The sequence below is a fragment of the Homo sapiens genome, chromosome 10 (assembly GCF_000001405.40).
Source record: "Homo sapiens chromosome 10, GRCh38.p14 Primary Assembly".
Classification (NCBI taxonomy): Eukaryota; Metazoa; Chordata; class Mammalia; order Primates; family Hominidae; genus Homo; species Homo sapiens.
The window spans coordinates 13159153-13172259 of NC_000010.11; the positions used below are offsets into that span (position 1 = coordinate 13159153).

Below are 13107 nucleotides of genomic sequence, written 5' to 3' on the forward strand. Positions count from 1 at the left end.
TCCTTAGAACCCCAGATCTGGAGATCAAGCTGGCTACCGTGCCTTTCTTAATCAGCATCTCTCATACATCTCATTCTGAAATAGAAAACTAAATCTATCTTCTCCCCTAAACCTGTTCCGTTCTTCCTATGTCTCCTACTTCAGTGCACAACCTCAAAAACGACCCTATTGTATAAATCAGAAACCTAACAGTCATCCTAAACCTGTCTCCCCATCCCCTCTCTGCTTCCTTCTCGCTAATATCTCCACATTCAATGGATGTTTTAAAAATATAAACTCAAGATTTTATTGTCTTCATAATAAAAGAAAACATGACACTTAGAACTGGATCACTTGGCCGTTTCTCTTCTTACCTCCTCCCAGTTCAAAATGCTAGCATATTTTAATAGCCAGCACTCTCTTAGAGCTGCAGCTGGGCTCAACGCACTCAAGCCTTGGCACAATTTTCTGTAGTTTTAGCCCTTTCCTGGAAAATCGGCTTAATTTGCCCACGATAGCCACTCTGCTTCCTGTCATAACGCCGCTTTCCCTGGGCATACAGAGAATCCTTCTCCTTCGTGTACAGTGTCACTTTGTGGGGTTGGTGCTTGCCACACTTCTTATAGAAAGTCTGGCGGGTTTTAGGAAACTTCGTAATGTTTGTGTGAGCGCTATCGGCACGGAAAAGCCACATTCAATGGATTTTAAAAAATCTATTTGCCTAATTGTTTCTCAAAATCACCTCCACTTCTTTTCTCAAAGTCACCACTATACTAATTCCAATAAAAAGTGCTTGATTCTTCACTTAAGGAAGGTTTGCGGGCTTAGGTTGGTTCTGTTTCTGACTCCTTGCCCGGAACTGGATGCAAAGAGGACCTGGAAAGTGAAGGTGAAGAAAAGAACTTCAGAGTACTGATCAGAATTAGTCAAGGAATTTCTGCATAATGGCTAAGAATAAATCTATGACGAATCTTTTTTTTTTAATAACTAGATGTAGTGATGCATTTATTTATTTATTTATTTATTTATTTATTTATTTATTTAGACAGAGTCTGGCTCTGTCGCCAGGCTGGAGTGCAGTGGCGAGATCTCGGCTCATCACTGCAATCGCCACCTCCCAGGTTCAAGCGATTCTCCGCCTCAGCCTCCCAAGTAGCTGGGATTACAGACGCGCACCACTACGCCCAGCTAATTTTTGTGTTGTGTGTGTTTTTAGTAGAGATGGGGTTTCACCATGTTGGCCAGGCTGGTCTCGAACTCCTAACCTCGTGATCCACCCACCTCGGCCTCCCAAAGTGCTGGGATTACAGGGGTGAGCCACCGTGCCCGGCCTTAGTGCCGTATGTTTAAAAGTACGCATTTAAACATACTTTTTCAATTTGATTACTAGAGTTCCTCCATTACTATGAATTTTTAACACTAGCAGCTCTCAGAAATGGTTGTATTCCTATTCCTGAGCCAATATAGGTTTAAGTAATAGGGCTGAGCTCATAAATGGAGCAGTAATATTCCATTAGGACACAGAAAAAAGTCAACGTAGATGGCATCAGGACTGTTTATCTTCAGTCTTCCTAAAGTCGATTTTAATTGTTCTGAAAATGAAAGTACGTAGTGGATAGAGATAGGATCTTATACCAAAGGGATTATTAGTGGGGGAACTGCAGTGCCTGAACAGTGTCTGCAAGGAGGAAAAGGGGGGAAAGACTTAAAGTGGCCATTTGGTCCATCAAAGTCTCTTCTGCTATCAATCCCTTGAAATTATGTAAAAGCTAAATGTTATTCTGCATTTAGAAACTATGTTCTTAGTATTATGTACAAACACTATTTTTTAGAATGTAAATACATAAAGAGGCCTGAATTTTACTGAAAAAAAAATCTGTGAAAGATATGGTCTGCTGATAAGTTCTCTTCAGCCCTGACGCCCCTTAGAAGTCCCAAAATCTATGGAACAGGAATTACTCGGGAAATGGTGGTTTCAGTGTAAAAGATGTCATCTACCCTTTCCCTCACTGCACAGATGGTGAAGGGGAAACTCAGAGAGATAAGTCACTTCCCCAAGGTCAGACAGGGTAAAAGTGGACCGGATCTGTTTGGTCCTGAGCCCAAACATTTCGAATGGACATAAGGCTGACAAAGGAACAGTCGGTCCCAGAGCGTCAGGAGTTGAGGTGGGATGGGACCGCAGGGAAAATACTGGGTGGGATGACTTAAACTTCCCGGCACCAGGGGGCGCCAGACACTCTATTTTACCTAAAGGAGACTGGCTTCTACCGACAGGAAGGTCCCTTGCCCCCAACAAAGAGGGCGTCCAATGACGTAAACCAATCCGATTGCTCTGTGCCAGGGCCGGGATTCGCTGGCGTAGCCAGTCAGTGCTGCCCCACAGCCGCGTGCGTCTGACGTCAAGGCAGGGGCGGGATCCGGTTGGAATTTTGGCGGGTTCAGCTGTGAACGAAGAAGGCGTCCCGGCATCGGGTGAGGAGCGCGGGCCCCGGGCGTGCGTGTGACCCTCGGGCGGCGGGGCCGGGGCCGCCTCGCACGTCTCTGCGCGGGTTGCAAGGGGTCCGAGGCTAGAGGCGCGGGGTCCCGGGAGCTCGGGTGGGCGCGATCTGGATTTGGCGGCAGCTTGGGACCGCTCGGAGCTGGCATGGCCGGGCCGGGGGCTGGGAGTTGCTGGCCGTCTACTAAGGAATCGGGTTCTTCCTTTTAAACGCAGCCTTTTAAGTGCTTGCCAAGTGCCTGCCGCCTGGGCTTTCTTTTATTCATTCATTCATTCATTCATTCATTGGTTTCTCGTATTCATGATTTGCCAATGATTATTGAATGCGGACGGTGTGCATGGCTCGGATCACATTTCCGCTGCCTTCACAGCGCTTACAGTTTAAAGGCACGAGCAGGTAGTAAACAAATGCACGACAGTGGACGACTCAGGGTGGTCCAGAAAGTCTCAGAAAGATGAGTAAGTGGAGACCGAAGGGCGAGAAGGACCTGGGGGGAGCTTTCTTCGACAGAGCCTGAGACCTCAAAGCAGCTTAGTGTGTTCCAGAAGGTGGAAGCGGGCTGGCCCGGCTGGAGCATCGTTATGGGTGTCGGGGTGGGTAGAATTGGACGTGGTGGATTGTGGAAAATGTGAGGGAGTAGAAAGCTTGGAAAGAGAGAGAGAATATGAATCATTGCCTCGCAGGCTTTGTAGATTTTTTCTAAGGGCAATGGAAAATCATTAAAGAATTTCAATGAAGGGACCCCCATGATCTGATTTATGTTCCTAAAGGTTACTAAGGAAAGGGAAGATTACCGTGGCTGTCGTATGCAGAACAGATTGCACGGGGACAAAGAGACCAACATAGAAAGCTAACACAGTCATTGGGTTAAAGGTTGACGGTGGCTTGGCCTAGGGTTCTGGCAGTGAAGTTGGAGAGAAGTGGCAGATTTGAGCAGTGTTTTGGAGATGGGACCACAGTACTTGTCAGTGGCCGTGGATTTGAGGGCGAGGGAGGGTGCACAGTTTCATTTTGGGGGAAGGCAAGGCCGGTTACAGACTTGAACGAGACAGTTTGCTCCTAACGCTCAGGAAGCTTACTGTCCAATAGGTTCCCCAGTAGATAGCACAGTGTGTGGCACATGAGGGATCCGTGGAAATGTTGGTTGAATGAATTTTTAAAAAGCGGCCAGGCGCGGTGGCTCACGCCTGTAATCCCAGCGCTTTGGGAGGCCAAGGCGGACGGATCACCAGGTCAGGAGATCGAGACCATCCTGGCTAATACGGTGAAACCCCATCTCTACTAAAAATACAAAAAATTAGCCGGGCGTGGTGGCGGGCGCCTGTAGTCCCAGCTACTCGGGAGGCTGAGGCAGGAGAATGGCGTGAACCCGGGAGGCGGAGCTTGCAGTGAGCCAAGATCGCCCCATTGCACTCCAGCCTGGGTGACAGAGACTCCGTCTCAAAAAAAAAAAAAAGCACCTTTGGGAGTCCAAGGCTGATGGATCACTTGACATCAGGAGTTCAAGACCAGCCTGGGCAACATGGCGAAACCCTGTCTCTACAAAAAACACAAAAATTAGCCGGGTGTGGTAGTGCACGTTTGTAATCCCAGCTACTTGGGAGGCTGGGGCAGGAGAATCACTGGAGCCTGGGAGGCGGAGGTTGTAGTGAGCCAATAGCACCACTGCACTCCAGCCCCAGCGACAGAGCGAGATCCTGTCTAAAAAAAGAAAAGAAAGTACCATAATCACTGTAATTAGTTCCTTGACATTGAACTTGCCAAAGAGCACATGTAAGTTAAATAAGAGCCTAGAAAAATGTATACTTTCTTACTTGCAGTTTAAAAAATAACCTTAAATGAAAAGAGAAGTGCACAAAGTGATACAACTTTGTCTTAATTAGCTACGCTGTTTCTCTGTGCTTTGCTGACTAGTATTGAATCAAAATCCTGATTGTCACTAAGGCTCCACCTAAGTAGAATCATACAGTAAGCTGTCGTGGATAACGCAGATGTCAGGTGTATTACAGTGAATAAAATGAAAGAATAGCCTAATGTAGATCGACCCCAATAATTTGTGTGTGTGTGTGTGTAATTTTTAAAAAAGACAAGGTCTTGCTATGTGACCAGGCTGGTCTCAAACTTCTGGCCTCAAGTGATGCGCCCACCTTAGCTTCCCAAAGTGCTGGTATTACAGGCGTTGAGCCACTGTACCTAGCCAACCCCAATAGTTCTTCCTCATAATTTATCTCATCCACGTAATCTAGTGTGATTTACAAACTGCTCTGCAGCTCAATAACTTTCTGTAACCTTAAACACAAGTAAAAGTGAGCTGCTACATCCAAGGAAGGAGATGGCATTGGCGGTGTGGAGAGAGGAGGTGAGAAATGGTCAGATTCTGGATGAATTCTGAGGTTAGAGCCCATAGGAGTGGTAGGATTCTGGGTTTGTTGGATGTGTGTTGTGAGAGAAAGAGAAGAATTGAAAGTGACATTTCTAATATTGCTTTCACACAGCCAAGATTCTACATTGCTCATCTGGGCATCTGAGCCTCCTTCGAAGTTTCCTGTCACAACTGTCCTCTTGACAGCATGGATGGTAAGACCTGGCAGTTTTCTGTTACTCTGTTTCAAGGAAAACTAACCTTTTGTCCATGGACTTGTTATTTATTCTACCTGTAAAATGGTGAAAATGCTCCCCAGCCCTCAGGTATTGTCTTAGTGGTTCTGAAGCAATCTCACATCTCACAGAGGTCACTGAATGTTACTTGCTTTTATCAGGGGAGATTTCTTCTGGCAACAGAGATTGTCTTTCATAATTACAATAGCTGGTAGGTGTACAGTGGGCCAGGCACTGCTCCAAGATCCTTGTGGAAATTAACTGATTCAGTCCTCAGGCAAACGTATTTTATAGGCAGAAAAACAGGGATGTTTAGTAACTTGTCACAGTTCAAGCTGGCATAGCAGGGCTTTGAACCAGGCAGTCTGACTTCAGAGTTTACATTTGATAATGAAATCTGCTGAAGCGATATTAGTCTAGCTCTGACTTAAGTTTTTATTAATATCATCCTTTCTAATTTTGTTCATTTTGCAAGGATGTGTACAAAATGTTTACCTAGAAAAGAGATGTTGCACTAATTAGCGATCACCTAAAATGATTGTGCTGGGCTGGACGCAGTGGCTCACGCCTGTGATCTCAACACTTTGGGAGGCCGGGGTGGGAGGATTGCTTGAGCCCAAGAGTTCAAGACCAGCCTGGGCAATAGAGTGAGACCTCATTTCTATTTTTAAAAAATTAAAATGATTGTGCTGGTTGTGAAGAGATCTAGTTGCATAATTGAACTCATAATCTGAAACTGGGTTTTTTTAAAAAATTCAAACATATTACACTTTGCCCTTTAAAACAAAACTTGAAATTCCTCACACTGTGATGCACAGTGGACCCCCGTTGTCCCTGAGAGATGTGTTTCCACACTCCCAGCAGATGCCTGAAACCCAGGATGGTACCAAACCCTAGGCATGCTGTGTTTTTTCCTGTACATACATACGTGTGATAAAGTATAATTTATGAATTAGGCACAGTGAGAGATGAACAACAATAATAAAATGGAACAATTATGACAATATACTGTAATAAAAGTTATGTGAATGTGGTCTCTCTCTAAAGTATCTATTGCACTCTCAAAATATCCATTGTACTGTCCTCAACCACAGTGACCATGGAAAATCAAAACCACAGAAAATAAACCCTCAGATAAGGGGTTATTCCTTATGTGAAACTCATTGCCTGATGCTATCATGGTAGTTTCCTGTTTCTTAAAATTGGCAAATTGCCTACAGGGCAGGTTATATAATACAAAGCATCACTTTTTGCTATCAGATTGACATGAAAATAAGAGGTGAATGGATACCTGTTCTCTAAGAAATCATAGTATCTATCTGGAAACAGTATAGGTCAAGAAAGAAGAAATCATAATGTTTAGGCTGGGTGCGGTGGCTCATGCCTGTAATCCCAGCACTTTGGGAGGCCAAGGTGGGTGGATCACCTGAGGTCAGGAGTTCGAGGCCAGCCCGGCTAACATAGTGAAACCCCATTTCTACTAAAACTACAAAAATTAACCTGGTGTGGTGGCATGTGACTGTAATCCCAGCTACTCAGGAGGCTGAGGCTGGAGGATCACTTGAATCTGGGAGGCAGAGGTTGCATTGCATCGAGATCCCACTACTGCACCTCCAGCCTGGGTGACAGAGCAAGACTCCATCTGAAAAAAAAAAAAAAAAAGAGGAAAAAGAAATCATAATATTTAGTAAGAAAATCTCATTTGATTGGCATGGGTTCACAATTTGGCCGGTGTAGAGGAAATCGGAGACTGTATGGTACTTGGGATATACTGTTGAACAATGTTCCTGCTTATATTTTAGTGGAGGGAGAAAGATAACAAAACAATAAACGGGTAGTTAGTAGATGGGAGACACTGCTATGTCTTTGTATGCTGACAGGAGTGCTTCAGAGGAGAGGGAGAAACTGGGGATTCAGGAGCCAGAGAGGTGGTAATTGTAGAATGAAGTCTTTGAGAAGCTGAGAAGTGGGACCCAATGTAAGAATGTAAGTGGAAGAATTGGCTGTGAATAGCACTAGATACTTAGTCCCAGGAGGGAAAGCAGAGAAGATACGTTCAGAGTTGGGAGTGAAGGATGAGGAAGTCTGATTACATCTATTTTTTCTGTAAAATATAAGCCAAGGGCTGGGCGCTGTGGCTCACGCCTGTAATCCCAGCACGTTGAAAGGCCAAGGCAGGTGGATCACCTGAGGTCAGGAGTTCGAGACCAGCCTGACCAACATGGAGAAACCCCATCTCTACTGAAAATACAAAATTAGCTGGGCGTGGTGGCACATGCCTGTAATCCCAGCTACTCGGGAGGCTGAGGCAGGAGAATCACTTGAACCTGGGAGGTGAAGGTTGCAGTGAGCCGAGATCGTGCCATTGCACTCCAGCCTGGGCAACAAGAGCAAAACTCTGTCTCAAAAAAAAAAAAAAATACATACATACATATATATATATATATATATATATATATCATCAGCTAAGAGTAAAGAGTGGGGAGTGGGCATAGGAGGTTTGAGGAGAGACAGTGTGAAGTGGTCAGAGCCTGGGAAAGCGAATGAATTGAGGAAGTGTGGGAATCTTTAAGCAGTGCTGAATGCTTGTTTGTTATGGGTGTGCAAAAATTTAAAGTTAGACTGAGGCAGGGTCTTGTTGATCATACCTGTAGTCCCAGCACTTTAGGAAGCCAAGGCAGGAGCATCGCTTGAGGCCAGGAGTTCAAGACGAGACTGGGCAACATGGCAAGACCCCATTTCTACAAAAAAATATTTAATAAGCTGGGCATGGTGGTGTGCACCTCTAGTCCCTGCTGCTTGGGAGGCTAAGGCAAGAGGATCGCTTGAGCCCAGGAGTTTGAGGCTATAGTGAGCTAAGATTGCAACACTGCACTCCAGCCTGTGTGACCCTGTCTTGAAAAATAAATAAATAAATAAACAAACAAAAAAGACCAGTCAGCATGGTAGCGAGTCTTTCTCCAGGACCATTCACCAGCCAGGGAGCTGAGTCTTTAGAAGGCAGTGAGTGATGATGGTGTTGAACATGGATCCACAGGGAGGGCATTAGGGGCAGGGGGTGATGGACAGGAAACACATTGTAGGTAGGCTGATGGGTTAGACATGTGGATGAAGCTGAAGAGCTGCTGGATGTGAATACTAGAGTGAGCGGGCTGAAAGGATGGGAGGTTGGATCACAGAGGGACGTTCAGAGGTCAGTTGTGCTTTGCTGTGATGAGTTGGAGTTACTATGGGAGTGGGTAGCTAAGATGGGGAGTGGATGAGAAACCCAGCGACCAAGATGTTGGCTGGATCATCCTTGCGGAGGTTGAAGTGCCCCAGGAGGGTGATAACAGTAGAGATGGAGGGGAGGACCGGGGGGGGCATGCATGATACACATATGATGATCAGCACATGACAGTGCCATGAGGGGTTCTTGATGCCAGCGTCTGGTGTCTTGAACTTCAGAGAGCTGTGATCTGGAAAAAGACTGAATCATTCCAAAGTGACAGTGATAAAGAAGACATCAGGAACCTGAAGTTGATCAACAAGTATTTGTTGCATGCCTAATACGTGCCGAACACTATTCTAGACATTGCCATGTGAGGTGTGAACAATTAAATGCTTTCCATTCAAGAGGCTTCCAGGGGTAGCCAGATTTCTGTTGTAAGAGCCACTGGGGATCCGAGAAACGTGCTGATAGTAGATTTCACATCCCAGGGGTTTGAGAACAAAGAGGCTGGGAGATTGAGTCAGCGTAATACAGAGAAGACATGATTTTTGGTGGTGACTGAGGTAAACGGGGTTGTGAGGCACCATGGGATTAGCCCTCGTTCTCTTGTGAAGGGTTCAAAGTGAATAGTATGGGGTCCCCAGGCAGCATTTTCCACCTGTGGCCCCCAGTGGTGTGAGCCAGAGCCTCTTCCCGGGGTGTGCCCTCTTTGGCAGACGGGAACAAGAGATGGTGGAGGCCTCTTTGCTTCCTTGCAGGCATGTGACATTCTCAGAGCACAGGGGGCTGCCTGGCCTCTTCTCTCTTGCACTGTGCAGCCTTGGAGTCTTTGTGGACTAAGCAACTCAAGCTAATCCTTATACAACCTCTGACTGAGCATTAGGCCCCATCATCAGATTCTAGGCCTGAAGTTTGGCTACTGGCTTTTTCCTTCTGGTAAGGGAGTGTAGAGTGGTGGAAAGGATATTGGTTTGCTGATCTAGAGATTCCTTATTAACCCAGCTCCTGAACTGATCTGTTTCTCCATGTGATCCTGAACAAGCCCCTCACCCTCTCATACTCTAGCCCCTGAATTTCAGACAAGGAGAGTAGGTCAGATATCCTTAATATTTTTCCATTGAATACCTCTGATTTTATAAACAAATAGTGCCCAAATAGGGGGGAAAAAAGAGCAAAGAAAATAGATAAATCAAGAAAGAAGAAATCCGATTGGCAAATAAACAAACAATTCTTAACCTCACCAGTAATCCAAGAAATGCAAATCAAAACAGTGAGATGCCTTTTTAAATCGTCCATCAGATTGACAAAAAAATATTTAAGTGACACATCAGATATTGATGAGGTGGTGGGGAGAAGTGGCCCTTGTGTACAGCTCTAGTGAGAGTGATACAGATGATAGCAATTATTTAGGGAGATAGTAAGGGCAACAGAGTCCTCAGCAGAATTTCCCTTTTAGCAAAAAGCAGCCCCCAAGTAATTTCTAACAAGGCCAGCCAGAAAAATCAAGCGGACATAGAAAAGCAAGCTAGTAATTTGCACGGATGAATACCTGCAGCTGTGCCAATAGGAAAAGGCTCCCTGGGGGCCAGGCGTGTTCAACATGGCGGCCCTTTTTCTGTGTCAACCACGTGTACAGTAAAGAAACAGACAATATGGCGCTGGCCAGGTAGAGAACCACCTGCATAATAAAAGATTAGGGTGGGGCAGCCAGGTTTTCCACCCTATGCAAATGGCATACCTAGTCCAGCCAATCTTTTATGTCCTGTGTAAATCAGACATTGCGTCCTCAAGCTCGTCTATGAAACCCCATGCATTTTGCCATGGACGCGGCAACCCATTTCTCTGGGACCTCTCTGCTGCCGAGAGCTCTTCTCTTTCTTTTGCCTATTAAATCTCTGCACTTAACCTCACTCCTTGTGTGTCAGCATCCTTGATTTCCTTTGCATGAGACAACGAACCTCAGGTATTACCCCAGACGAACTATGCCATTTCAAGAGTGCATCCACTTTGAGAACAATTTGGCAGCATCTAGCAAAATTGGAAAACGTGGATACCCAGCAATCCAGCAATTCCATTTCTGATAGATATTCCCAAGAAACACATGTGCGAGAAGACGGATACACGATTACAGCGTATTTAGTAGTGGGGAAAAATTAGAAATAGCCCATATTGTCCTTTATTGGAAAATGGATTAATGAGGTGTGATACAGTCTTATTATAGGATACAATATAGCAACGAAAAGAAAGAAACTAGAACTATATGGGGTTTTTTGTTTGTTTTTGAGATGGAGTCTCGCCCTGTCACCCAGGCTGGAGTGCAGTGGTGCGATCTCGGCTCACTGCAACCTCCACCTCCCAGGTTCCATCAATTCTTCTGCCTCAGCCTCCTGAATAGCTGGGATTACAGGCACGGGCCACCACGCCCAGCTAATTTTTGTATTATTAGTAGAGACGGGGTTTCACTTTCTTGGCCAGGCTGGTCTTGAGCTCCTGATGTCAGGTGATCCTCCTGCCTTGGCCTCCCCAAGTGCTGGGATTACAGGCGTGAGCCACCACGCCTGGCTAGAACTATATGTTTTGATTTGGGTTAATCTTACAAGCAATGTTGAATGAACCTGGAATGCAGAGTAATGCAGTGTGGAATATTTATGTAAATATTTTTAAAACCATCTAATATAGATTGACTATGACTGCCTATATATTTATGTAAAAGCATAAGAATGGACTGGAATGATGCCTCAAAATTATGAAAGTGATTACAATGGGAAGTGGGGGCAGTGGTCAGGAGTTGGGATAAGATTTGGCATGACAGACTTCATCTGGAAGGTGTTATTTAATGTTAAAGGCAAGAAGCAAACAACAAAATGTTAATGATGGCTAATTCTGGGTGATGGGATCTTAGTATTTTTTATATAGTTTGTATCTTTTTTTTTTTAAATCTCAAATAATTTGAAGGTCAGGAATTATATACATCTAAAGCCTAAATCTATGTTTGGTGTTTTAAAATTATTCCCTTGTTGGTTGAATTTCATGGAAGTCGGTGTGCGGGAAGCTGTCTCATTGATTGGAGTAGAATGCTTGAGGACATTTGGCCCCGTGGCTGGCCCACTCTACTCACTAAGCAGTATTGGCTCCTTCTTAGCCCAGTGTCCCCTAAGAAGCACCTGGGGACAAGAAAGATGGAGACAAGGAGAACAAAGACCAGGCAAAATGGTGCATCTGTAGGTTTTTGTTTTTTTTGTTTGTTTGTTTGTTTGTTTTTTTAGTTTCAGCTTTCATTTTAGATTCAGGCTTGTTACAGAGATGTATATATAGTGTGATGCTGAGGTTTGGAGTATGGTTGAACCCATCACCCAGGTAATGAGCATTGTACCCATTAGGTAGTTTCTCTTACCCCCATGGGGTCATTTAAATTGCCTAAAGTTGAATGTTTGGAATTAGCCGTGCTTATTCTCTGTCCTTTCTCTTCTTTTCCCCTAGAGGAGGAAGACAATCTGTCTCTGCTGACCGCACTGCTGGAAGAAAATGAGTCAGCCTTGGATTGTAATTCAGAAGAAAATAACTTCTTGACGCGGGAAAATGGCGAGCCCGACGCATTTGATGAGCTCTTTGATGCCGACGGCGACGGTGAATCTTATACAGAAGAGGCTGATGATGGAGAAACAGGAGAGACAAGAGACGAAAAGGAAAATCTGGCCACTCTCTTTGGAGATATGGAGGACTTAACAGATGAAGAAGAAGTTCCCGCATCACAGTCAACTGAAAATAGGGTCCTCCCTGCTCCTGCCCCCAGGCGAGAGAAAACGAATGAAGAGTTGCAAGGTGCCCTAACTACTTGCCTTCCTTATTTCTTTCGGATAAGTTGGATGAAGACCACCAATCTGATAGTTGTCATCAAAATAGCTGCTGATTCAAGGGTAGAGATAAATGACTTTGTAAAAAAAGAAAAAAAGAAAGAAAATTATATGAGTTGGTAGATGAAATGTTTGGGCCAGCATTTCAGCACAAACTATAGACTCTATCAGTGTCAGCCAGCTGCACTTGATCCTGTACGGAATGGCTCTGAAACTTTTCATATTTCTTATGGAATAGTAGCACTTTGGGATGTATGTGGATGTGGAGCCAGAGACAAGGTTGCAAAGCTGCCACATATCTATTTGAGCAGAGCATTCCTGAACAGAAGCTTTGACACATGTTCTTTTCTCATTCCTGGCATCTCATACATGTTTAAGCTATAGTAAAATTCAATGGTTAGCTGTTTCTTCTAATACAGAAGCCAGCATTTATTATATTAGTTATGATATCCAATTTATGAAGTAAATATAATTTTTTTTTTTTTCCGAGACAGATTCTTGCTGTGTCACCCAGGCTGGAGTACAGTGGTGCAATCTTGGCTCACTGTAGCCTCCACCTCCCAGGCTCAAGTGATCTTCCTGCCACAGCCTCCCTAGTAGCTGGAACCATAGGCATGCACCACCATGCCCAGCTAATTTTTTTTATTTTTTTTATTTTTTGTAGATACAGGATCTCCCTATGTTGCCCATGCTGGTCTCGAACTGCTGGGCTCTTGCGTCCTCCTGCCTCAGCCTCCCAAAATGCTGTGATTACAGGCACGAGCCACCATGCCTGGCCTATAATTATTTCTCAACTCCTAAAAACTTGTTAACTGTGGATTTTATTTGATATCTCTTAATAGTAAAGATTTATAACTAGTTTGATTATTGGGTGCTTCGTTTACTTTAAATAAAATATGTATTTCTCTAAGAGACCTCTTTGAAGTACCAAAGTTAATCATGAGCTTTGGGTATGTGATTATAT

At 44.5% G+C, this 13107-nt stretch overlaps 1 protein-coding gene and 1 pseudogene across 4 annotated transcripts in view, besides 2 other annotated features; one reads left to right on the top strand and one right to left on the bottom strand.

The window, feature by feature from the left end:
* Nucleotides 269-665, bottom strand: RPL36AP36 (ribosomal protein L36a pseudogene 36; annotated as a pseudogene).
* Nucleotides 2155-2468: a silencer, noted in NCBI's record as "fragment chr10:13203307-13203620 (GRCh37/hg19 assembly coordinates)". NCBI's record gives its function as "represses an EF-1alpha promoter that drives an FKBP-Casp9 reporter gene in an ReSE screen in K562 erythroleukemia cells {active_cell/tissue: K562}" and the evidence as "EXISTENCE:reporter gene assay evidence [ECO:0000049][PMID:32094911]".
* MCM10 (minichromosome maintenance 10 replication initiation factor) overlaps nt 2406-13107 on the top strand; it is a 49553-nt gene continuing 38851 nt past the window's right edge. For 2 of the 4 annotated variants that reach the window (XM_011519538.3, XM_047425437.1), the window contains exons 1-3: nt 2406-3073; nt 4976-5057; nt 11770-12111. In XM_011519538.3, coding sequence (XP_011517840.1) covers nt 5051-5057; nt 11770-12111 — 349 coding nt within the window. In that variant the 5' untranslated portion in view covers nt 2406-3073; nt 4976-5050. The remainder of the gene's footprint in view (nt 3074-4975; nt 5058-11769; nt 12112-13107) is intronic. The other 2 variants (NM_182751.3, NM_018518.5) reach the window with 1 other exon arrangement.
* Nucleotides 2491-2670: a silencer, noted in NCBI's record as "silent region_2151". NCBI's record gives its function as "represses an Ori minimal core promoter by ATAC-STARR-seq in GM12878 lymphoblastoid cells {active_cell/tissue: GM12878}" and the evidence as "EXISTENCE:reporter gene assay evidence [ECO:0000049][PMID:35858748]".